This window comes from Homo sapiens, chromosome 12 (genome assembly GCF_000001405.40).
Source record: "Homo sapiens chromosome 12, GRCh38.p14 Primary Assembly".
Lineage (NCBI taxonomy): Eukaryota > Metazoa > Chordata > Mammalia > Primates > Hominidae > Homo > Homo sapiens.
In genome coordinates this window covers 112,044,431-112,069,679 of record NC_000012.12, presented here as the reverse complement: position 1 = coordinate 112,069,679, position 25,249 = coordinate 112,044,431, and the positions used below count along the sequence as shown (strand labels likewise).

Sequence of the window (25,249 nt, the reverse complement as noted above, 5' to 3'; positions counted from 1 at the left end):
TCCAGCTAATTTTGTATTTTTGAGTCAAGACGAGTTTCTCCATGTTGGCCAGGCTGGTCTCGAACTCTTGACCTCAGGTGATCCTCCTGCCTTGGCCTCCCAAAGTGCTGGGATTACAGGCATGAGCCACTGCACCCAGCCTATTTTATAATCTTTAACTTAATTTAATTTAATTTTTGAATGGAGTCTTGCTCTGTTGCTCAGGATGGAGTGCAGTGGCATGATCTTGGCTCACTGCAACATCCACCTTCTCGGTTCAAGCGATCCTTTGCCTTATCCTCTCAAGCAGTTGGGATTACAAGCATGTGCTGCCACGCCCAGCTAATTTTTGTACTTTTAGTAGAGATGGGGTTTCACCATGTTGCCAGGCTGGTCTTGAACTCCTGACTTCAAGGGATTGCCCGCCTTAGTCTTCCAAAGTGTGGGATTACAGGTGTGAGCTACTGCATCCAGCCTATTTTTTTATCTTTTAAAGACTAGTCAGGTGCAGTGGTGAAAAGGGGGAAAGAGTAGAACAATGAGTTCAGTCTGTAACTGAACAAGTAGTTGAGATAACCCGCTATCTTGGGACCAGTTGCAAGCAAAATTTTGTTTTAATTGAAATGAATGTTTTCAAATTAATTCTCACTTAAATAGAAATTGCTTCTGTTCATGAGTAATAAAGTGATTTTGTTCCCCGTCCCCCAGGTGATCCAGAAGAATTAATGTTCCAGTATTTTAAAAAGTTTGGCGATAAACCTTGTTGTTTTACAGACCTTAAGGTGTTTGTTGACCTCTTACCTGCTACACAGTGTACAAAAGTAAGTACTATACAGTTTAGAAGTTTGTTGGGTGCCTCTATTTGTTGAAACACAGAGGTTAAATGTTTGGGTTTCTTTTCTAAAATGTGCGGAATTGATAATCATGAGATACAATGATAACTGCCCTGTCAAGCTAAGTACTCTATGTGTTACAACACTGAAGGCATAATTTCTGGTTAAGTCACAACGGGAGTAAAGCCCTAACAGATGGTGGATTCTCCTTTTTTTGACTGTCTTATTTTGAGATAATTATGGATTTACATGTAATTGGAAGAAATAACACATCTCGATTTACATGTAATTGGAAGAAATAACACATCTCATATATCCTTTATCTGTTTGTCCCAATGGCAACATCTTGCCCAATTATAGTGTAATATAATTAGGAAATTGACATTGCTCTCATCTGTTGAACTTACTCAGTTTTTGCCAGTTTTGCATGCACTGATTTTTGTGTGTTTGGGTGTTGTGTATGGATTTAGTGCAGTATGTGGCACATATGGGTGTGTGTGTGACTATTACCGTAGTCAAGATACAGAACAGTCCCACCACCACCAGAATCCCACATGCTACCCTTTAATAACAATAGCCACCTCCCCCTCTCCCATCTCTATCTATGGGCAGCTATTATGTTTTCCATCTTTATAATTTTGTCATTTTTTGAATGTGAAGTACAGCCAGGTACGGTGGCACGTGCCTGTAGTCCCCAGCTACTTGGGAGACTGAGGCGGCAGGATCGCTTGAGCCCAGGAGTTCGAGGCTGCAGTGAGCTGTAATCATGCTGCTGCACTCCAGCCTGAGCGACAGAGTGAGACTCTGTCTCTTAAAAAAAGAAAAAAAGAGGCTGGGTGTGGTGGCTTACGCCTGTAATCCCAGCACTTTGGGAGGCTGAGGTGGGTGGATCACCTGAGGTCAGGAGTTCAAGACCAGCCTGGCCAATAATGGTGAAACCTTGTCTCTACTAAAAATACAAAAAATTAGCTGGGTGTGGTGGTGAGCACGTGTAGACCCAGCTACTTGGGAGGCTGAGGCAGGAGAATTGCTTGATCCCAGAAGGCGGAGGTTGCAGTGATCTGAGATCACAGCAACCACATGATTGACTCTCCAGGAATTTATGCGGAGTGAAATAAGCCAATCTCAGAAGTTACACATAGTATGATTCCGTTTATTTAATTTTTTTCTTTTTCTTTTTTTTGAGACAGGGTCTCGCTCTGTGGCCCAGGCTCATTGCAACCTCTACCTCCTGGGTTCCAGTGATCCTCGTGCCTCAGCCTCCTGAGTAGATGGGACTACAGGCACATGCCACCAGGCCTGGCTAATTTTTGTATTTTTAGTTAGAGACAGGGTTTTGCCATGTTTGCCAGGCTGGTCTCGAACTCCCGACCTCAAGTGATCCACCCGCCTCAGCCTTTCAAATTGCTGGTAGTACAGGTGTGAGCCACTGTGCGTGGCTTTATTCTATAAAATAGAACAAGTGTTCCCTACTGTTGAGTTTGCAGAGATTTTTATATATCTTAGATACAAGTTCTTTGTCAGATATGTGGTTTCAAATGTATTCTCCCAGTCTGTAGTTTGCTCTTTCATCTTTTTCATGAAATTCTGCAGCACAAAGTTTACATTTTAAAGTCTAGTGGGCTCTCCTTTTAATGTCTTGTTTCTTTGTTTCTTTTTTTTTGAGACGGAGTCTTGCTCTCGCTCTGTCGCCCAGGCTGGAGTGTGTTGGCGCGATCTCTGCTCTCTGCAACCTCTGCCTCCTGGTTCAAGGGATTCTCCTGCCTCAGCCTCCCAAGTAGCTGGGATTACTGGTGTGCTACTATGCCTGGATGATTTTTGTATTTTTAGTAGAGATGGGGTTTTACCATGTTGGTCAGGCTGGGAAGATTGGAAGTCTTTCTATAACAGGGCTGCCATCATCCGTTCTCCCAGAAAGCCTTCTATTGTCCCCATGTGGAATGAATGAAGTGCACTGGGAGCACAGTGGATATAATTAGAGTATTTTTTTAGTGACCACATTTGTAGTCCATGAAGGTTCAGTACTTTGGCAGACTTGGGGTTACACATTTGGGCAGATAGAGCAGTGCATTCCCCAACTGATAAGTAACCAGTGGTCTCTGGGGTTCTGAAATGACTGCTGCCATTCACGTTGGTTTAGTAAAGCTCTGTTTGAGTTGCTGTGGTTATAGGGCTCAGGCCAAGCCTAGAAGTTTCTGGATAAATTGTAACACATCCAGAAAGGAGAGTTATGGGTTATAGGAGGATTTAAAAGCATATAAGAGGGAAAAATGGTTGAGTGGAGGAGAGGTTTGGTCTGTCAAGGTCAGAGTGATATTGCCGTTCACTTATTTGAAAAGCTGTCTTTAGAAGAGGGAGGAAAACAGGGACCAGCAGGAAGTTCTACAGGGAGCTCAGAATTTGGCTCACTGAGAAAAATATCTTTCTTAGTAGTGAGAATTCTCTCAAATACTGTGTGTGAGCTTCACGTTACTGGAGGGATTGAAGTAGAATGTAGATAAACCAGGTGGGAGGGATTCATTCAGTAAGTGTCGAGCATATTGTGTGCTAAGCCCTAAGATAAGGAATAACTGATCTTGTCTTACAGTGCTTATTGTCTTGCTAGTTGAAGCATCAAATGGTGGGGGTGCATTAGAGGAACACTTTGCTACTTTTAGATGAGATTTATGAAGGTTTGCTACCATGAATCTAGTACCAGTAACCTTTTCTGTACAGCTCTACTTCATTGGTGTGTTTGAGAATCTTAGGTCATCTCATGTGATCCCACATAGTAAGAATCGTCTATTCAGATGACCCTTACTGGAATGCTAGCAGTGATAAGCTCTAGTCACTGCTCTGTGAGAATAAGGATTTAAAGCTGTTACATTGAGTTTATAGTCCTAGTCTATGTAAATTTTACTTGAGAGAGGTAATTTTGCTGCCACTTTTTGACTGTAGGATAACTTCAGTAGCTAAATATCCTGCCAGTCAGCAAGTATGTTTGTCAGAGGATTACGAACTGTCCAAGTCAATCTGAGAATTGTCCTAATGAATTATGAACCAAATCTTTCTAAAGTCTGACTAGCCCCTAAGAGTGAGCCAGTGAGTTCAGTTATCCTGAAGTGGCTCGCCCTGGGTGATGTTCTAATCTTTTGTTTCATTTGCTTTGGGGTTTTAGCTAAACAATAAAATGATTCTAGTTTTTTATTTATTTATTTATTTTTTTGAGATAGAGTCTTGCTCTGTCGCCCTGGCTGGAATGCAATGGCACAATCTTGGCTCACTGCAACCTCCACCTCCCGGGCTCAAGTGATTCTCCTGCCTCAGCCTCCCCAGTAGCTGGGATTACAGACGTCCATCACCACCCCTGGCTAATTTTTTTTTTTTTTTTGAGACAGTTTCGTTCTTGTTGCCCAGGCTGGAGTGCAGTGGTGCAATCTCCACTCACTGTAACCTCTGCCTCTCGGGTTCAAGAGAGAACCTGCCTCAGCCTCCTGACTAACTGGGATTACAGGTGCCCGCCACCATGCCTAGCTAATTTTTTTTGTATTTTTAGTAGAGATGGGGTTTCACCATTTTGGCCAGGCTGGCCTTGAACTCCTGGCCTCAAGTGATATGCCCGCCTTGGCCTCCCAAAGTGCTGGGATTACAGGCCTGAGCCACTGTGCCCAGCCTAATTTTTGTATTTTTAGTAGTGATGGGGTTTCACCATGTTGGCCAGGCTGGTCTTGAACTCTTGGCCTCAGGTGATCCACCTGCCTTGGCCTCCCAAAGTGCTGGGATTACAGGCGTGAGCCGTGAGCCACCATGCCTGGCTGATTCTAGTTTTTATTTTTTTATTTTATTTTATTTTTTGAGACAAGTTTCGCTCTTCTTGCCCAGGCTAGAGTGCAATGGCGCGATTTCGGCTCACTGCAACCTCCACCTCCTGGGTTCAAGCAATTCTCCTGCCTAAGCTGCCCAAGTAGCTGGGATTACAGGCATGCACCACCATGCCCAGCTAATTCTGTATTTTTAGTAGAGACCGGGTTTCTCCATGTTCGTGAGGCTGGTCTCGAACTCCCGACCTCAAGTGATCCACCAGCCTCGGCCTCCCAAAGTGCTGGTATTACAGGCGTGAGCCACTGCACCCAGCCTCAACGATTCTAGTTTTTAAAGAAATTTTTTGCACAGCAGTAAAACTGTACAGACTAAAATAATGAGCAGATTATTTTGTAACAAAACCTTGTCAGGAAGATGTTTCTTTAGAATTCATTAAAGAAGGCCACAGTAAACCTAACTAATATATAAAATGGCTTGCAAGAATAGAAGAACTGGCAGTAGAAACTATAGAAGCATTTAATCAAAAACATGAAAATAATGGCTGGGCATGGTGGCTTATGTCTGCAATCCCAGCACTTTGGGGAGGATGAGACGGGCAACTTGAGTTCAGGAGTTCGAGACCAGCCTGGCCAACATGGCAAAACCCCGTGTCTACTAAAAATACAAAAATTAGCCAGGTGTGGTGGTGCATGCCTGTACTGTAGTCCCAGCTACTCGAATGGCTGAAGCAAGAGAATCGCTTGAACCCGGGAGGCAGAGGTTGCAGTGAGCCGAGGTTGTACTACAGCACTCCAGCCTGGGCAACAGAGTGAGACTCCGTCTCAAAAACAACAACAACAACAAAAACATGAAAATCAGTGCTGCAGTTTGTTAAAATTATGAAATATATATATCTGATCATAATGATTAAAATTAATAGAATTATAGGTAAATTGAAGCAAATTCATTACAGATGTTAAACTGCAGGATGAGTAGGATTTTGTTTTAATTTTTTTTTATTTGTATCAAAAAATTACATATACTGAAGCTGGGTGCAGTGGCACACACCTATAGTCACAGCTACTCAGGAGGCTGAAGCAGGAGGATTGCTTGAGCCCAGGAATTAGAGTCCAGCCTGGACAACATAGTGAGTCCCCCTCCCAAAAAAGGAAGAAGAAATACATGTACTGTATAAAATTGAAAAAGTCAAATAGTATCGCAAGGCTTATATTGAGAGGCAGTAGTCACTCCTTTTGTTCCAGCTCAACAGATGCAAATCACTTTCAACTAAATTTTTTGTTATTTTCCTCCATATTTCTAAATTATTTTCTTATTTAATAATTTATTTTTATAGTTATAGTCTTATCCTATTGGTGCCCTTCTGTGTAAGGTGATTAGTTGTTTATAACAAATCAATTTCCCCCAATACACTTAGGATAAAACATGAGATTTTGTTCTCTCTACCCTTCTCTTCACCAATGTAAGAAATGCTTTCCATTCCAAAATGCCTGTTTGCTACTATCTGTTTAGGAACTTACATATTTGTCGGATAGCATTCTCCGATATGGTTGGGAGTATAGGGTGGGAGCCTGAAATTATCACTGAATAAGCAAATTTTACTTTATTCCCCTGTTTTCAGCTATGACTGCTGTCTCTGACTCTGTCTCTGGTTCAGTGCCTTATGGCTGTAAAACCCAGGCTGTTCTACTCACACTTAGAAATTCCATCTGTGAACTTTTGGAGGGGCCTAACTTCTTAGAAATTAATATATTCTATTTTAGTCCCATCAGCACTTTAGCCTTTAGGGACACCTGGTGCCCTTAGTCTCTGAGTCTTCCAAGATTCTGTGACTAGAGTGCGCTTCCTGCTTATTGGGGTCTGCCTCATTGCATACTGTTAGATTTCAGTGTTCTTGGCAACGTAAGTTACTACTTAACCACCTGTTCTTGTATCTTTTGAAATCTTCATGATTTTTATTTGCTGTCATCTCTCATTTCTTCATGTATTATTCTTTTCTTCTTTTTTTTTGAGACAGGGTCTGGCTGTGTCACCCAGGCTGGAGTGTAATGGCGCAATGATGGCTCACTGCAGGCTCAAACTCCTGGGCTCAAGTCATCCTCCCGCCTCAGCCTCTTGAGTAGCTGGGACTACAGGCGTGCACTACCATGCCTGGCTATGTGTTTTGTTTGTTTGTTTGTTTGTTTTTTTAGTAGAGATGAGGTCTCACTATGTGCCGAGGCTGATCTTGAACTCTTGAGCACAAGTGATTCTCCCATCTCTGTTGGGAATATAGGTGTGAGTCACTGCTCCCGGCCTCTTCACATATTCTTGATCTGTGTGGATTTATTCTTTTTTTTTTTTAATACGGAGTTTCACTCTTGTTGCCCAGGCTGGAGTACAGTGGTGCGATCTCGGCTCACTGCAACCACCGCCTCCTGGGTTCAAGCGATTCTCCTGCCTCACCCTCCTGAGTAGTTGGGATTACAGGCACCCACCACCACACCCAGCTAATTTTTTGTATTTTTAGTAGAGACAGGGTTTCACTGTGTTGGCCAGGGAGGTCTCGAACCCCTGACCTCAGGCAATCCACCCGCCTTGGCCTCCCAAAGTGCTGGGATTATAGGCGTGAGCCACCGCGCACCACACCCGGCCTATTTTTTCTTTTATAACTTTTTTTTTTTTTTTTTGAGATGGAGTCTCGCTCTGTTGCCCAGGCTGGAGTGCAGTAGAACAATCTTGGCTCACAGCAACCTCTGCCTCCCAGGTTCAAGCGATTCTCCTGCCTCAGCATCCTGAGTAGCGGGGATTACAGGTGCGCGCCACCATGCCTGGCTAATTTTTTTGTGTATTTTTAGTAGAGATGGGGTTTCAGCATGTTGGCCCAGCTGGTCTTGAACTCCTGGCCTGAAGTGATGTGCCCACCTTGGACTTCCAAAGTGCTAGGATTACAGGCCTGAGCCACTGCACCCAGCCTCTTCTTTTTTTATTCCTTACTGGCATCTTAATAGGATTTTAGAAGTGAGAGGAAATAAGCGTGTATTTAATAAATACATAACTAGAACTGGTATGTGGGTTTTATTTTTAAATTTTTATCCAAATTTAAAGGATGAAAAACATTTTAAGGCAAGATGTAACCATTCGGAGAAAACTGGATGAATGGTACATGGGATCTCATTTCTCATAGCTGAGTATGAATCTATAATTATAAGTTCAATTAAGAAAAATGTAGGGTCACTGACATAAGGTAAACAGTATCTTTCCATGTATAACCTTTCCTTTCAGAATTTATCAGCATAATTACAGATTAATTTTTTTTTAATTTTTTGGTAATCTGCTCTTTTCTATAGTCTTCCTAATGTTTTCATTGCTGTAATATATATTATGTTAATATGCTGTAAGTTATGGAACATTTTCAGAAGTATAAAAATCTTTCACTGCCTGTAGTACGTGGTATTGACAAATACTTTTGGCCAGTAATGAATGAGTGTGCCAGTTTCATTGGAGCTTCACCAGTGTTGTGTGCTGTCACAAATTTTTTTTGTTTTAGCTATTTTGGTAGATAGAAAATGGTTTATGAAAGGAATTTTAGTTTTTTTTTTCTTGATGTCTTTTTCTAGACCATTCAATTTCTGTTAATTATGGCCTACTGAAGACTAGTTGTGTTTTGAGACCTTTGCTCCTTTTTTCCCCACTTTGCAGTTTATTAATCAGTTACTTGGAGTTGTTCCTTTGTCGACACCAACAGAGGATAAGCTGGCACTGCCTGCTGACATCAGAGCTCTGCAGCAACATTTGTGTGTGGTGCAGCTGACGAGGTTACTTGGCTTGTACCACACCATGGATAAAAATCAGAAATTGAGTGTGGTCAGAGAATTGATGTTAAGGTACCAGCATGGACTGGAATTTGGTGAGCAACCATTCAAAATGTGCAGTAGTTCCCTGATCTACACTAAGACTTAGAAGGCAGTTTTTTAAGCACCTGTAGCACCCTGTTTTAATGAGTTTTGTAAGGAGACTATTTTGTCTGGGAAGACCATCTAAGTAATATGATGTAAAGCCTTTCTTAAGCCTGGAGTTTTAAATAATTCTGATTGGCTTTCAGTTGTCTGTATTCTTCTTGATCTGATGAGCTAACTTTTTATTAGATTGGGGCTCATATAGATTGCATAGTTTATGATAATTATCACATTTTCTGCTTGTAGGCCTAAATATTCTTAATATATAGACTGTAAGTGAACAAAAAGAATATTGTAAATTGTAAGATAAATATTTAGTTTAGAAATAGATGATCTTCAGATAGGTGTGGCCTTTGCTAGATATATGTGATAGACATATAATTGTCTGACTATAAGATGTCAGTATTTATCTGTAGTCTAAAGAATTAGATGAAGTCAGGAGCATATTGTGAATTTAGTTATACATGGCACTTGGCTTATGTTCTTTTCTTCACCTCAACCTCCTTCAAATCTTCCTTCTCTCCCTTTGGGACCATCATGGATACCACCTCTGCTCTGGAACCCTACCTTCTGTTCCAGCTGAGTGTGGTCTCACCTTCTTTTGAACCCTTTGAATCGTGGCTTATATTTTTCTCCTGGTACTTATCTTATTCTTAATTTTCTTTTACTTTTCCTCCTCTCCCTCCTGTCACTTTCCTGCTTTTAAAAACTCCTTTGGGGTCAGTAATAGTTGAACAAATGTTAAAATAGATATGATTTTTTTCCCCCATAGGGAAAACCTGTTTGAAAACAGAATTGCAATTTTCTGACTATTACTGTCTCCTTGCTGTCCATGCGCTTATTGATGTATGGAGGGAAACAGGTAAGTAGCAGTGATTTCAGTTCAACTTTACTTTTTGCTTTTATTGATTATAAGTACTGCATTCTTTCATTAGACTAATTTTACAATCCACAAATTTTATTTATGCTTTTAGGTTCTGCTTTTCTTGATATTTCTAGGGTGCTTCCAGAAAAACCTGTCTTGGCCAGGTGCGATGGCTCATGCCTGTAATCCTAGCACTTTGGGAGGCTGAGGCGGGTGGATCACCTGAGGTCAGGAGTTCGAGATTAGCCTGGCCAAAATGCAAAAAACTTCGTCTCTACTAAAAATATAAAAATTAGCTGGGCATTTGGGCGCATGCCTGTAGTCCCAGCTACTTGGGAGGCTGAGGCAGGAGAATTGCTTGAGCTTGGGAGGCGGAGGTTGCAGTGAGCTGTGATCATGCCACTGCACTTCAGCCTGGGCAACAGAGCAAGACTCCGTCTCAAAAAAAAAAAAAAACCTGTCTCCAGTTTATCCCCTTGTAACCAGGATAATGTTAAATGAATGGATATCTGTTCTGTTTTTAAGTGTTTGTGAATAATAAGTAATGACTATAAAAAAATACTATGACAAAGCTACAAAAATTAAAATACAATGAAACTGACTAAAAAATACATGCACAGGCCTATGGAACAGAATATCTTTTATTCACTTCAAAAAATTTTATATACAGAAAAATGCATTCTTTCTGGAATATAGTTTGTCTCATTTAAGATAAAAATATAAGACATGGTAAAGGAAGCATCATGAGTGATTGAGGAAGAGAAGGATGATTCAGCAAATGGTACTGGGATTGCCTTTTCTTTAGGTCCCACCCCCTGACATTTTCTCTTATTAGCAGTTTTGGAGAATAAATAACTTTAGGTGCTTATGGCATATTATTCATGAGAATTGAACTATAGAAGAAACAAAGGGCTGAAGAGACAGTGGTAAGCAAGATAAACACAACCCCTGCCCTCATGGATCATTTCACAGAGCACTCAGTTTTGTTTTTTTTGAGATGGAGTCTTGTTCTTGTTGCCCAGGCTCGAGTGCAGTGGCGTGATCTCAGCTCACTGCAACCTCCGCCTCCTGGGTTCAAGCGATTCTCATGCCTTAGCCTCAGAGTAGATGGGTTTACAGGCACATGCCACCAAGCCCAGCTAGTTTTTTTTTTTTTTTTTTTTTTTTTTTTTTTTTTTTTTTTTTTTTTTTGTGAGATGGAGTCTCGCTCTGTCGCCCAGACTGGAGTACAGTGGTGCAATCTCAGCTCACTGCAATATCCTCCTCCCAGGTTCACGCCATTCTCCTGCCTCAGCCTCCCGAGTAGCTGGGACTACGAGTAGCTGGGACTACAGGTGCCCGCCACCATGCCTGGCTAATTTTTTGTATTTTTAGTAGAGATGGGGTTTCACTGTGTTAGCCAGGATGGTCTCGATTACCTGACCTCGTTATCTGCCCGCCTCGGCCTCCCAAAGTGCTAGGATTACAGGTGTGAGCCACTGCGCCTGACCAGTTTTTGTGTTTTTAGTAGAGACAAGGTTTTGCCTTGTTGGCCAGGCTGGTCTCGAACTCCTGACCTCAGGTGATCCACCCGCCGCGGCCTCCCAAAGTGCTGGGATTCAGGCGTGAGCCACTGCACCCAGCCTTATCATGCCATTCTTAAAATCCTTCAGACCTCAGGAAGCCAAGGCTTGAGCCCAGTAGTTCAAGGCTGCAGTGAGCTATGATCACACCATTACACTCCAGCCTGGGTGACAGAGCAGGACCCTGTCTCTAAAAAATTTAAAAAGAAAAAAAATCCTTCAGAGGTACCCTGTTTTCCTGAGGATAAAAGTCAAGTGTTTTGGGATAGTTTATAATGCTGTTTATAATCTGGCCTGTGCCCACATCTCCAGATTCTTAGGTATTTATGGTCTTGAATCTACTTTAAAATTTTTTTGCTACTATCACTTAACATCATGTTGCCTCTCTTTGAAATAACTTTCTTACCTCCCTCATCTAAGTTTTACTCAAATGGTGCCTTTAACAAAGCCTGTCTTGATTTTAACTCCTTCCCCACTGGGGATTTTATGCTCCTCTGAACTTCTGTAGGACATTGTATGTAACCATATGGTAGTGTTTTTTTTTTTTTAGTTTGTTTTGGGATGGAGTCTCGCTCTATTGCCCAGGCTGGAGTGTAATGGCACAATCGTGGCTCACTGCAACATCCTCCTTCCAGGTTCAAGCGATTCTCCTGTCTCAGCTGCCCGAGTAGCTGTGATTACAGGCACGTGCCACTATGCCTAGCTAACTTTTGTGGGTTTTTTTTGAGACAAAGTCTCGCTCTGTCGCCAGACTGGAGTGCAATGGCACAATCTTGGCTCACTGCAACCTCTGCCTCCCAGGTTCAAGTGATTCTCCTGCCTCAGCCTCCCAGGTAGCTGGGACTACAGGCGCCCACCACCACACCTGGCTAATTTTTTGTATTTTTAGGAGAGACAGGGTTTCACCATGTTGGCCAGGATCTCTTGACCTCGTGATCCACCCACCTCGGCCTCCCAAAGTGCTGGGATTATAGGCGTGAGCCACTGCGCCCGGCCTAATTTTTGTATTTTTAGTAGGGATGGGGTTTCACCATGTTAGTCAGGCTGGTCTCAAACTCCTGACCTCAGGTGATCTGTCTGCCTTGGCCTCCCAAAATGCTGGGATTACAGGCATGAGCTACTGCACCTGGCCAGTAATACTTCTGACACTATATTGTACCAGGGATGAGAGTGAAATCCTTGTCATCAGAGAACTTGTTATTTGAGCCCCTAGATTCATGAGGCTGCATAGGGTAGCAAAAGTCATTTTAACATGAAAACATTAATGAACTGATCATGTAGTAATTTGATCCCCACACAGATAGGCTTTCTTACTGATGCCTAACATCCGTTCTCACCAATAGTGACTATGGCTTTGCTAGTCTCTTATATTAATATTTTGAGCAATATATGTGGCCATATGATAATAGTAACAACTGACAGTTGATTATTAGGCATGTGAAAGTACTTTACACAAATTAAACTATTTTATTTTATTTTATTTTATGTTATTTTATTTTATCTTATTTTACTTTTTTGAGATGGAGTCTCGCTCTGTTGCCAGGGCTGGAGTGCATTGGTGCGATCTTGGCTCACTGCAACCTCTGCGTCCCAAGTTCAAGCGATTCTCCTGCCTCAGCCTCCTGACTAGCTGGGATTACAGGCGCGCACCACCACGCCTGGCTAATTTTTGTATTTTTAGTAGAGACGGGGTTTTACCATGTTGGTCAGGTTGGTCTTGAACTCCTGACCTCGTGATCCGCCCGCCTCAGCCTCCCAAAGTGCTGGGATTTCAGGCGTGAGCCACCACACCCAGCCGATTTAAACATTTTAATAATACAGTTATTGTCACAGTTTTATAGGTGAGAGAAATGGAGGGCAGAGAGAAAAAAGGTAAATTGTCCAAAATCCTGCAGTGCAGACAAATACATGGGAATCATTTGCAAAATGAAATTGTAGATCTTGTGAAGATGCAGGGCTTCTTGAAGTCAGTGATAGGGATGTTGAAGTACTCCAGTCACAGTCATAATCATTGTTCAAGGTGCACCTGGCAGAACTTAGAAATCAATAGAAAGTTGATGAGGGCATTTAAAGAGATTGATTTAAATTCAAAAGGATTGAGTGTTTTAGGAAGTTGGTGCTCTCAAATATTTTTTCTGAAAGGCTATTTTTTTATTTTGAGACACTGTCATCCAGGCTAGAGTGCAGTGGCACCATAGTAGCTCTCTGTAGCCTCAACCTCCTGGGCTCAAGGGATCCTCCCACTTCAGCCTCCTGGGTAACTGGGAGTATAGGCACATGCCACCATGCCTGGCTAGTTTTTGTATTATTTATTTAGTTAATTTTAAATTTTTTTAAATTTTTTATTTATTATTAAATTTTATTTTTATTTTGAGATGGAATCTTAACTCCGTCCCAGGCTGGAGTGCAGTGGTGCAATCTCGGCTTACTGCAACCTCTGTCTCCTGGGTTCAAGCAATTCTTCTGCCTCAGCCTCCTGAGTAGCTGGAATTATAGGCACCCGCCACCACGCCCGGCTAATTTTTGTATTTTTAGTAGAGAAGAGGTTTTACCATGTTGGCCAGGCTGGTCTCGAATTCCTGACCTGAGGTGATCCGCTTCCCTGGCCTCCCAGAGTGCTGGGATTACAGGTGTGAGCCACTGTGCCCAGCCAGTTTTTGTATTTTTTGTATAGTTGGGGTTTTGCCATGTTTCCCAGGCTGGTCTCAAAGTCCTGGGCTCAAGCCATCTCCCTGCCTTGTCCTCCCAAACTGCTGGGATTACAGGCATGAGCTACTATGCCCGGCCTATCTTTCTTTTCTTCTGGAAAACAGCATATAGAATATTACCTTAAAATCTTACTGCATGGTGCTTTCATTTTTGCTGTTGTTACTGACTGTAAAAGTAGCTTGTATAAATTTTGGAAAGTAGTTTACTTAAAATCTCACTTTTTTGGACCTCAAAAGCACTCTTATCACTTTTGCATTTTTTTTTCTTTTTTTTTTTCCTTTTCTATTCTTGAGACAAAGTTGCACTCTGCTGCCAAGGTTGGAGTGCAGTGGCATGATCACAGCTCACTGCAGCCTCAACCTCCTAGGCTGAAGCAATCCTCCCAACCTCAGCCCTCCTGAGTAGCTGGAACCATAGGCAGTGTGCACCACCACATCTGGTTAATTTTTTCAAAAATGTTTTTAGTAGAGACGAGGTCTAGCTATGTTGTTCAGGCTGGTCTCAAACTTGTGGGCTCAAGTGATCCTCCCACCTCAGCTTCCCAAAGTGCTGGGAGTATAGGCATGAGCCACCATGTCCAGCTAACATTTTTGTTTGTTTTCTTCTTCTCTCTCTCTTTGTGCATATTTTAAGAGTTGAGATCAACTCTTTGTACTAACTTGAATTTTCTGTGTGTGTGTTTTACTGAACATTATTGCACATTTTCCTTTGTAATTAAAAACTCTTCATTAACGTCAAGTAGTTATATGACATTTCCATGTGTCGAAGTTACCATAATTTACCTACTCATCCTCCCATCATTACATCACTAGATAGTACGATAACTATTTTTGTATATAAAGCTTTATCTGTATTTCATAGTATTTTCTTTAGATGGATCCTAAAGAATAAGTAACTTAATCTTGAAGACTAGAGATACATGTACCTTTTGAAATTTCATAGACCCAAAAAAAGTATCATTTTAGTTTGATTATTGAGTAAATATTTTCAAACATCCTATTTGCCATTCTGTTAGTAGAGTTACATATGGAAGAAAAATGATGTCTATAGATAACATCTGTCTGGGGTTTTATAGAGGAAATCCTGCAGGGGCAAGGTGCTGAGCTCCAGTTTTCCTTCAAAGTCCATCTCTTCCCAGAATCTGAGATTCTGTGAGATTCTATAACATCCCCCCACAAGACCTGGCCACTTAAAATCTGCATCGTTTTTGCTGTGGGCATGTTTAAGAATAGACTTAACTATTGAAGGACTCTCTGTTGAGGCGAAATTCTCTATTTTGGTTACAGGTGTATATCTAAAATTTGTTCTCTGTCATTTAACTTCATTTATTGGGGGGGGTGATGATGTCAATAAGGTTTTGTTTTTTGTTTTTGGGAAGCTTTCATTTGCTGTCAAGATCAGTGGATAATGCTGTATTTTGGTTCTAGGTGATGAGACCACTGTGTGGCAGGCCCTGACTTTGCTGGAAGAGGGATTAACCCATAGCCCTTCCAATGCTCAGTTCAAATTGCTGCTTGTTCGAATCTACTGTATGCTGGGTGCATTTGAACCAGTGGTGGATCTTTACTCCAGCCTCGATGCTAAGCATATCCAGCATGATACCATTGGGTTGGTAGTATATACTCTGAATAATGAGCAGCCAGCTATACCAGTGTGGGGTACACAGGACTCTAACTTAGATTTTAAAGTTGATTGTGACATTAAGCCTTTCTGATTAAATAATAACCTGTTATGATCCATTGCAAACCAGAAAGATTTTTATATCTCCCAGCATTTTGTGGTAATTTGAAAATTTGCACAATTTAGAAATGTAAGAGAGTTTTCCCCAGAGATAGCAAACACCTATATACTTTGAACCCTTATTCTTAGCACACATTATTTTGAAGTGTTCATTTCCGCTTTGCAGTTGAAGTTGACACATGTAATTTATTTATTGACCTCAACAAAGTTTGAATTTGTATTTTGAACTTGTATTTAGACTACTCTTTATTATTATGCTAGTATCACTTAATGGCATTTTCTCTGTTTGTGGTGCTGTTTTAGGAAGACAGCATTATGTTCTGTTAGAACTTTTATGTGTCATTAATCATCAGAGTGTAAGAAAGCCTAGTTACAGAACTTTAGGTCTCCCACAAAACTGAGTTAACTTTTGGCTTTTTTTTTTTTTTTTTTTTAAATTTTAACTGGTGAATTAGATCATTTCTGTGGGAGTATGTTTTAGTGTTTTCTTATGCCTAGCTATTTTTTTGCCAAGTAATTTGAAGCGTAATATTTGTTACTTGAGCTAGGTAAGTAAGTATAACATGTCTTTTTTTTTCCTTCTTTCCTTCTGATCTAGTTATCTTTTGACCCGATATGCTGAATCTCTAGGTCAGTATGCTGCTGCGTCCCAATCCTGTAACTTCGCACTCAGGTTTTTTCACTCCAACCAGAAAGATGTAAGTGAAAAACTATTTTTTAACTGTGATCTTGTCTGCTGACTGCACACTATTGAGGAGCACGTCACCACATGTCACAAGTACACATGTTAAGGTGCACCATGCTGAACTAGCAAGTGCCCTTAGACCAAAGCTTACTGTCCAAGGCTGGTAGGGAGAGGTAGAGAGTTATTTGTGTTTGTTAGAATGGGCGTGTTTAATAGAATCCTTGGAAAGTTGCATTTAAAAACTGGTATTTACTGACTAGGAAGTGTTAGTCCTCTTAGACCTGGCTTTTAATCTCTAAGAGACTTTTCCAAGGGTATAAGAAACAGTCCATAAGCGTTCATAGCCTGGGATGCCGTGTAACATCCTGCAATAGCAGCTGCTCTCTGTTACTTTTATTTAACTCTGAAATGTATGTCCATTGTGCTCTTTGCCAAAGGTGAATGTACTTGTATTTTCTTAGAAAATTAAAAGGCATTCCGAGAAACCTAGGTGAATAATATGTTTTTTAAAGTAGCAATAAATAGAGCTTCTCTGTGCCATAATGAAAGGATGGGATTTGCACCATATTTTTCACTGCAAGCAGACTTGGGCTCTACTTGTTGGTTAAGCCGAGGTTTTTGTAGGAAAACCATACGGTCTGTACTCAGTTGACCAATTATAAAAAACTGCCCAACAATGAATGTGAAGAAAAGGAATGTCTCCAGGGTGGTCACTGCCTACTTGGTTTTCACAGACTTCTAAGCCTCATCGCCTGAAGTTGGCTGTGCCAGCTATCTGCCCATAGCTTTCCATTCTCATGGTCTACCAGCAATTAAGGAACTAGCAAGGAAGCTAGTTTCTGGGGTTCTTCTTGGCAAACACTCGTGAGGATTTTTTTTAAACCCTTTTGTTTTACTGTAACAGGATGACTAATCTATCTTCCATCTAATTCTTTAAGGGTGTATTGTATTAAATAGAAGCATTTCTGAACATGGGATATAGGTTTGTTCTCAGTTTATGATAATTACATTCTGACAAGTTTTAGGGAATGGCCTAGAGGGCTGGAGTAGCAAAGGACAGCTCTAAGCAGGTGGAAAGCAGCCTCTTGTGCTTAGATAATGAGCTGTGTACCATTAGTTGGTTCTTAGTCCTGTATCCCCTCCCCAAAGTGGCCCCCTTAACCTCTGCAGTGATTGGTATCTCCGTTCAGACCTCATTTTGTGGCACAGCATCTGATCAGGGAGAGAGGAAAATGAGTATCAGCATCTGAGCATGTTACTCAGAAGGTGTGCTGGCCTGGCTTAGAGGTCAGAAGGTCATCTCTAGGATGTTGGGTTTCTAAAACCTAGCATGGATGAGCTATAAACCTATGAATTTTCATTGTGTGTTCAAGTATCTGTACTTGCCCTCCTGTTTTCAAGAGGTTTCACTAACTCAAAAAAAAAATCAAAAGGATTGGTTTCCTCATCTCATTATTTATGGCCTCATTTCTGTATTTATAAGAGAGATGAAAGAAACATTTGATTTACTGAAGATTCCTTTTCAAAGGTTTGTTTCTCAAATAGCTTTGAGGTAGTGGGAGTAAATCAGGGATTAATTCCAGCCCGGTGGCTGGTTTTCCTCTAGCTTTCAATCATGCAGCATTCTAGAAGAACTGTATTACTCATGAAGATGTGGTCAATAAAGACACATTACTTTATATACATCAGAATTAGGCTTTAATTTTTTCCCACAAATATTGTGTCTGAAGAGTTGTTTTGAAAGAAAATCTAAAAATAAAATTACAAAAGTGTTGCAATATAGGCAAAGGAGACCCCTAGGAGCAATTTGAGGGGATGTGTCATCCTCAGAGTTTTTTTTGTATCTTTGTTTTATGTTTTGCTGATGGTTGTGTGTGGCAAAAGTGACTAATTCATCTGAATGTATGTGATGTTGAACCTGATAAAATTATAGCATTTTATTGATCAGAGACTAGGACACTTGAAATATATTTTGATTACCGCTAAGAAGATAGAGCTTATTAAATCTGCTGACAGGAGATAATCTTGAAGAGTCCTAGAGGCAAAAGAAAAATACAGTACAGGCTGGGCACAGTGGCTCACGCTTGTAATCCAAGCACTGGGAGGCCGAGGTGGGTGGATCACCTGAGGTCAGGAGTTCAAGACCAGCCTGGCCAACGTGGTGAAACCCCATCTCTACTAAAAATACAAAAATTAGCCAGGCATGGTGGTAGGTGCCTGTAATCCCAGCTACTCGGCAGGCTGAGGCAGGAGAATTGCTTGACCCGGGAGGTGGAGGTTGCAGTGAGCTGATTGTACCATTATACTCCAGCCTGGGTGACGAGAGAGACTCTGTCCCCCCACCAAAAAAGAAAAATATGGTACAGCTAGGAACATGTAGCTTGACCTTAATGTTGAGTGCCAGATAGAGACTGTGGTGTGAACTGTTTCCTAAAGAAATCTAAGGCTAAGAAAGATTATGATTGTAGTGTCTTACTGTGTGTGTTCAACCTTGTGCTTAGAGTATCAGAAATATCTCTCTTCAAATCCAGAGCTCTATACTATGCATCTTTTATTCTTGGTAGTTTTTGGGATCCCCGGATGCTTTTTCCTTGGGTGACTGATGCATTTCAATTCCCACCTAGCTCTTTGACAGGACACTTTTACTTAAATGGAAAATCTAGTGTTTTGCTTAGTAATGTTTTGTGCTATGGGATTGAAAGTTGTATTTGGAAGGTCTGCATAGGGATTTTCTTTCTAGAAAGGTTATTTTCTGTTGTCATCTTACTTTGGAATAGATTTTTAAAAATATGAAAATAAGCACTAGATTTTCATATCTTTAAAAGTCACTTACGTGTTTTTACTTCTTAAAAATTTCCCTTTAAAATCTCTATTTTATACAAAAATTATCTGGGTGTGTTGGCGAGCGCCTGTAATTCCAGCTACTTGGGAGGCTGAGTCAGGAGACTTGCTTGAATCTGGGAGGTGGAGGTTGCAGTGAGCTGAGATCATACCACTGCACTCCAGCTGTCACTCTTGGATGACAGAGTGAGACTCTGTCTCAAAAAAAAAAAAAAGTAAATAAAAGAAAATATAATCTCTAGGTATTCACAAAGGTCATTATTCAGGGGTTTTATGTCCATATATTTCACTAATTTTTACAGTGACCAGGGTTCATTTCAGGAATCCATTCGGGATCTAAATAGCCTCATTGGTGCATAAATGAGTAGAAAATAGGTACGGACAACATACTTTGATATTCAAAAGTCTTTAAAGTGCCTGTGGCTTTCAGTTTTGCCTGCAGTTCCAGTAGGGGGTTGTTTCTTCACGTAGTACTACTTCCACAGCCTTGGTCCTAGTGGTTGCATCCCAGGCCCTTGTCTAGCTCTGCAGTGGTACTTTACTGCAGTGTTACAGAAGGACTATCTAAAAAAGATAAGCCAGAGAACTGTGACTACCTTCTTAGTTTGTTAAAGACTATACTCTCTTTGTTGCCCCTTATTTTTCTCTTTGAAAAGCTATTGCCTTTTTTTTTTTTTTTTTTAAATAAAGTGGTGTTCCACGGACCACTTAGAAATTAAAACTGCCTCTACACTTGGTAAGGCTGGGTTCCCTCCTTAAATCATAGCATACTTTGGAACTGTAATTATAACTTTGATTGGAATTACTAAAGTCATATTTTCTTTTTGATTAATTACTGAATCATGTGTTCCTAACCAGCTGTTTTTTTTTCCCCAGCTGTAAGTTCCTATTACAAGGGCTAATAGTAGTAAACCTTGCTGTGTTTTCTAAGCCAAGGGGCCATAGGATAGGCATATGTGTTTAGAGTATCCTGGCCTCCTCTTGATAGGGTGTATCACTGTCCTTTAATCAAGCTAGAAGGTATACTCGAGCTTTTTCAGGTAGTCCTTCTTGAAACCTGCAGGATCACAAGTAATCTTTTTAATTTTCTTGTGTCCGTCCGTCTTTAATTTCTCCAGATACTGCAGGCAAACAGCTCGCCGAGGTGTCCCATGGGGGTTTAAAAGCCGCATCGAATGCAGTTGAATTAGCGCCCGTGGCGCAATCCCGCGGCCTGAAATGAACCCTGCAAGGCTGTATATCAGAGGGTATGTTGTTGACTATTGGCCTATTTTCCTACTGGGCAAATTATTCAGACGTAATGGAGATGGGGGCAGAGCTGATTAACTGAGGCTGTGTAAAAAGACTGTTTTTTCTAGAAAGGATCTTTTTTGGGGGCAGACATCAGCTTTGAGCATAATAGTTTCCTTGGCCCAAAGGGGTAATCTCCTGTCTTCTGATCCTGATGGCATAGACCCACACCCATGAAATGTTCTTCCCTGAGATTTTCTTCTATTGTGCCAGAATTTCTGCTTAGAATTCTTTATCTTGCCTCTGTTCTGTAATGTTTGATCTCTGTATATGTATTAAGCTACAATTAAAGCACATGTGGTGAATGTTCCCTTCACATACTTGTTTAAGGAAATTTCCAGCAGAGGTCTTACGTAATGTAGATGGACAAGAAACTTGGTTCTTGAAGTCTTTGTCCTCAGAATAGATTATGACATGAATTTTGATAGGTCTTTTGTTTGGTGTCTTACTTCTATCCTGACGTAATGCTCATATGCCCTGTGTTTCTAATACAGTATTCAGAAATAAGCAAAACCAAGGAGCAGCCTGTCTTTTTCTGAAGGAGAGTGGTTTTTATTTGGGGGGGCGGGGGGCAGGTGGTTCTATTATTCTGGTGCTTTTGGAACCTTTGTATGAAACACAGTTTATCTTAGATGCAGAAAAACATGGAGTAACATCCCTTCCAGAATGGCACTAACCAAATTTTTGACTGATGTGGCAAAACAAAACCTCAGTTCCTATTGAATTGAAAGACATGACTGCCAAGAGAAGGCTTATGTGATGGTGGCAGAAGCTGGTTATTACAATTAGTAATATTAGTAAAGGAGACATTTGTCTAAAGTATAAGAAGGAAGAAAAACATTTTAAAAAGCTAATATTCTACTTGGTGACCAAGACCTTTAAAGATTAGATTTAAAACTTAATTTTAGTTTGAGTGTTTTGTTTTGGCTGGCAAGGTTTGCTTACATTGCCTGACTTGTGAACTATTTATACCAAGGTGATGTCTTTCCTTCTCAGACCTCAGAATATATTATTCAAGCTTACAAATATGGTGCATTTGAGAAGATCCCAGAGTTTATCGCTTTTAGGAACAGGCTGAATAATTCTCTTCATTTTGCACAAGTCCGTACTGAACGGATGCTGTTAGACCTTCTACTTGAAGCAAATATGTAAGTATTGCATGAGAGCTATAAAGGAACTAAGGGATTAGATCAGTTGTTAAGAGCCATTAATGGGCTCATGGGTGTTATTGGCAGGCTTAAGGTAAAATAGGGGGAAAAAAGGGAGAGAGACAGTGGGGAAACAGAACTTGGCACATGTCATGGGGAATGGTAGAGTACTGCCAGCAACATCTTGAGACCATTACAGAAGCCATTTAGGTCATGGTCATCAATGCCTGGTCCATATTGTGCTTACGAAGGTTCCGCCTCCCCTACAAATCAAGAGATTTCAGGAATTAATGCTGATCCCCTTTGTTTTGTGTGGGCTTCCAGAAGCCTTTTTCTTGCCATGTAGCAAGCCAGTTTGATCTGCGCTTGGTTCTATTTCACCTTATTATGAGCCCTTCCTTCCTCTTTCCCTTCCTGTCTAGTAAAACAGGAAGTCCTGATTAATAATATTTTCTGGCTATTTTACTATTAAAATAATATGTGGATTTTTCTCTATCACAGATCAACCAGTTTAGCAGAAAGTATAAAGTCAATGAACCTTAGGCCAGAAGAAGATGACATTCCATGGGAAGATTTGCGAGACAACAGAGACTTAAATGTTTTTTTCAGCTGGGATCCAAAAGACAGGTAACTGGAATTTAACCCCAAGCAATTTTTAAAGTTTTTGTTTGTTTTTTGTTTTTTTAAAGAGACCAAGATCATAGCTCACTGCAGCTTCGAACTCCTGGGTGAAGCAGTTTATTTTTAAAGAATTAGGTTGGGCTGGGCACGGTGGCTCAGGCCTGTAATTGCAGCACTTTGGGAGGCCGAGGCCGGTGGATCACTTGAGGTCTGGAGTTCGAGACCATCCTGGCCAACATGGTGAAACCCTATCTCTACTAAAAATACAAAAATTACCTGGGCGTGGTGGCGTGTGCCTGTAATCCCAGCTATTCGGGAAGCTGAGGCAGGAGAATTGTTTGAACCCAGGGAGCGGAGGTTGCAGTGAGCTGAGATCGCACCATTACACTCCAGCCTGGGCAACAAGAGCAAAACTCCATCTCCAAAAAAAAAAAAAAAAAAGAATTAGGATGAATCTAAAATTAAAAAAAACAAACTTCACTTTACACAAATATAAAATAACATGTGTTTGTTGTAGGGATCAGAAAATATAGGTAAGCCAAATGAAGAAAGTATAGCTCACCCCTATGCTGGGACTGCTGGTTAATCTAAAAGTTAGATCTACTTCACAGCATATATGAGAATTCCAGATCGATTAAAGACTGTATGCTAAATTCTAGATTCCTTAGAAATTCTAGAAGAAAATATAGAAAATATTTTTAAATAGGTGAGGAAAGCCTTTCCTAGTATTATACCAAATCTGGAAACATAAAGGATTTAACTTCTGTAAATAGAAATAATAAATTTGTTAAGTTCTAAAGGTTTGTAGTAAATTTCTTCATACAAGTATCCTTCATATATAGAGAGAACTCTTAATAAGTCAATAAGAAAATAAGAAATTGGGCAAAGAAACACATCTTACAGCAATAAAGATTTTGTTTCTAGCAAAAAAGATGAATACTTGTGGTCAGCAAGGCTGTGTGGTAAATACTTATTATGCATTTACACAGGGATAAATTTTATACAGTCTTCCTATAGGGAGTTGTAGTGATATGTATCAAGATTTAAAATGCCACATACCATTTAATTTGGCAGATCTGCTTCTAGGAAAGTAGAACCTAAGGAAATAAATGCAGAAACATGCTAAGAAGTGTATATGAGGTAGTTCTGAAAATTCTGTGATTTGTGGGTTGCCAAGGCCACATTCAGTGATTTAGGATTGTTGAGTCCCAGAAGGATTCACAGGGCTGAGCATATAGTTGCACTCAACGGCTAAGGTTTATTACAGTGAAAGGACACATGACAGAATCCGGAAGGGAAAAAGGAACAGGCACAGTCGGGAGAACTCAGACTTCCAGTGCTTTCTCCCTCCTCTGAGGGGAAACACTGAGTATGCTCCTTTCTCCAGCAGGGAAAAATGCAGTAACACAGGTGGAATGTTCCTGCTCAGGGAAACCCAGTAGAGACTTGGTGCTTAAGGTTTCATTGTTATGTGGGTACACTCTGTCTATCCTGAGTGGAAAGAAAGCAGGTATTCACCATAAACAACATGGTTTATATAAACAATCTAGGCACAGCGAGTCACTCTTACCATTTTAGGGAACAGTTGGAGTGCAAAGTTCCCAGACATCAGCCAAGGGCCAACCTTGCAAGTAGGCCTTTCTAACGATAATAGCTGCAGGCCTGCTATGTTAACTCTTTTCTACACATACTGTCATAAAAAGATGAAGTTTGCAAAATAATGTAATTACTGTAACCAATTTGTTTAAACTTAAGTTGCATACATACTATTTTTAGTTACTTTTTTTTTTAGATGGAGCCTCTGTTGCATACTGTAACCAATTTGTTTAAAATTGTTAAGTTGTGTAAGTATTATTTTTAGTTACTTTTTATTTTTGAGACCTAGTCTGTCTCTGTCGCCCAGGCTAGAGTGCAGTCGCATGATCTCGGCTCACTGCAACCCCCACCTCCTGGGTTCAAGGGATTCTCCTGCCTCAGCCTCCCAAGTAGCTGGGATTACAGGTCCCTGCCACCACGCCCGGCTAATTTTTGTATTTTTAGTAGAGATGGGGTTTTGCCATGTTGGCCAGGCTGATCTCAAACTCATGACCTCTGTTGATCCCCCCATCTGGGCCACTCAAAGTGCTGTGATTATAGGTGTGAGCTATCGCAACCAGCCCCTATTTTTTTTTTTTTTTTTTTTTTGTGATGGAGTCTCACTCTGTCGTCCAGGCTGGAGTGCGGTGGCGCAATCTCGGCTCACTGCAACCTCCGCCTCCCGGGTTCAAGCAATTCTCCTGCCTTAGCCTCAGCTGGGACTACAGGCGTGTGCCACCACGGCCGGCTAATTTTTTTTGTATTTTTAATAGAGATGGGATTTTACTGTGTTAGCCAGGATGGTCTCGATCTCCTGACCTCATGATCTGCCTGCCTCGGCCTCCCGAAGTGCTGGGATTACAGGCGTTAGCCACTGCACCGGGCCACACCCGCTATTTTTAGTTAGACTTTTATACATCCACATTACAAAAGTCTAAAAAGATCTATACCAAACTTGATAATACTGTGAGTATTGGTTATCAGGGCACCTTTTCTACGTTTTACATTTTTCTATCATTTGCATTTTTTATGTTGTGTATTATTTTTATTAGAGACAGGATCTTACCCAGGCTGGAGTACAGTGGCGTGACCATATCTCACTGCAGCCTTGAACTCCTGGGCTCAAGCAATCCTCCAATCTCAGCCTCCCTAGTAGCTGGGACTACAGGTGTGTGCCACCACGTCCAGCCAATTTTTTGTATTTTTTTTTTTTTTTTTTTAGAGACTGGGTCTTGCTATGTTTACCAGGCTGTTCTCCAACTCCTGGCCTCAAGCAGTCTCTCACCTCAGCTTCCCAAAGTGCTGGGATTACAGGTGTGAGCCACCACACCTGTCCTCATGTATTATTTTTATAATCAGAGAACAAAGTGTCACTTATAAGGAAAATGACCTGTTTTTTTTGTTTTGTTTTGTTTTGTTTTGTTTTGAGATGGAGTCTTGCTCTGTCGCCCAGGCTGGAGTGCAGTGGTGCAATCTTGGCTCACTGCAAGCTCCGCCTCCCTGGTTCATGCCATTCTCCTGTCTCAGCCTCCTGAGTAGCTGGGACTACAGGCGCCCACCACCACGCCCGGCTAATTTTTTGTATTTTTAGTAGAGACGGGGTTTCACCGTATTAGTCAGGATGATCTCGATCTCCTGACCTCGTGATCTGCCCACCTCGGCCTT

The 25,249-nt window shown here is 41.0% G+C and overlaps 1 protein-coding gene and 1 long non-coding RNA gene across 7 annotated transcripts in view; one reads left to right on the top strand and one right to left on the bottom strand.

Moving 5' to 3' along the window:
- NAA25 (N-alpha-acetyltransferase 25, NatB auxiliary subunit) overlaps positions 1 to 25,249 on the top strand; it is an 82,095-nt gene that overhangs the window by 39,104 nt on the left and 17,742 nt on the right. For 3 of the 6 annotated variants that reach the window (NM_024953.4, XM_006719606.3, XM_047429557.1), the window contains 7 exons: positions 688 to 800; positions 8,292 to 8,499; positions 9,321 to 9,410; positions 15,112 to 15,292; positions 16,023 to 16,122; positions 21,237 to 21,388; positions 21,890 to 22,015. In NM_024953.4, coding sequence (NP_079229.2) covers positions 688 to 800; positions 8,292 to 8,499; positions 9,321 to 9,410; positions 15,112 to 15,292; positions 16,023 to 16,122; positions 21,237 to 21,388; positions 21,890 to 22,015 — 970 coding nt within the window. Of the gene's footprint in view, positions 1 to 687; positions 801 to 8,291; positions 8,500 to 9,320; positions 9,411 to 15,111; positions 15,297 to 16,022; positions 16,123 to 20,068; positions 20,198 to 21,236; positions 21,389 to 21,889; positions 22,016 to 25,249 lie in introns of those variants that run through there. The other 3 variants (XR_243023.5, XR_944731.4, XR_944730.4) reach the window with 3 other exon arrangements.
- Positions 12,770 to 25,027, bottom strand: LOC124903022 (uncharacterized). The gene is made up of 2 exons (XR_007063465.1): positions 23,069 to 25,027; positions 12,770 to 13,010 (listed from the first exon to the last, which is right to left on the bottom strand). It is a non-coding gene; the product is annotated as an uncharacterized LOC124903022 (long non-coding RNA).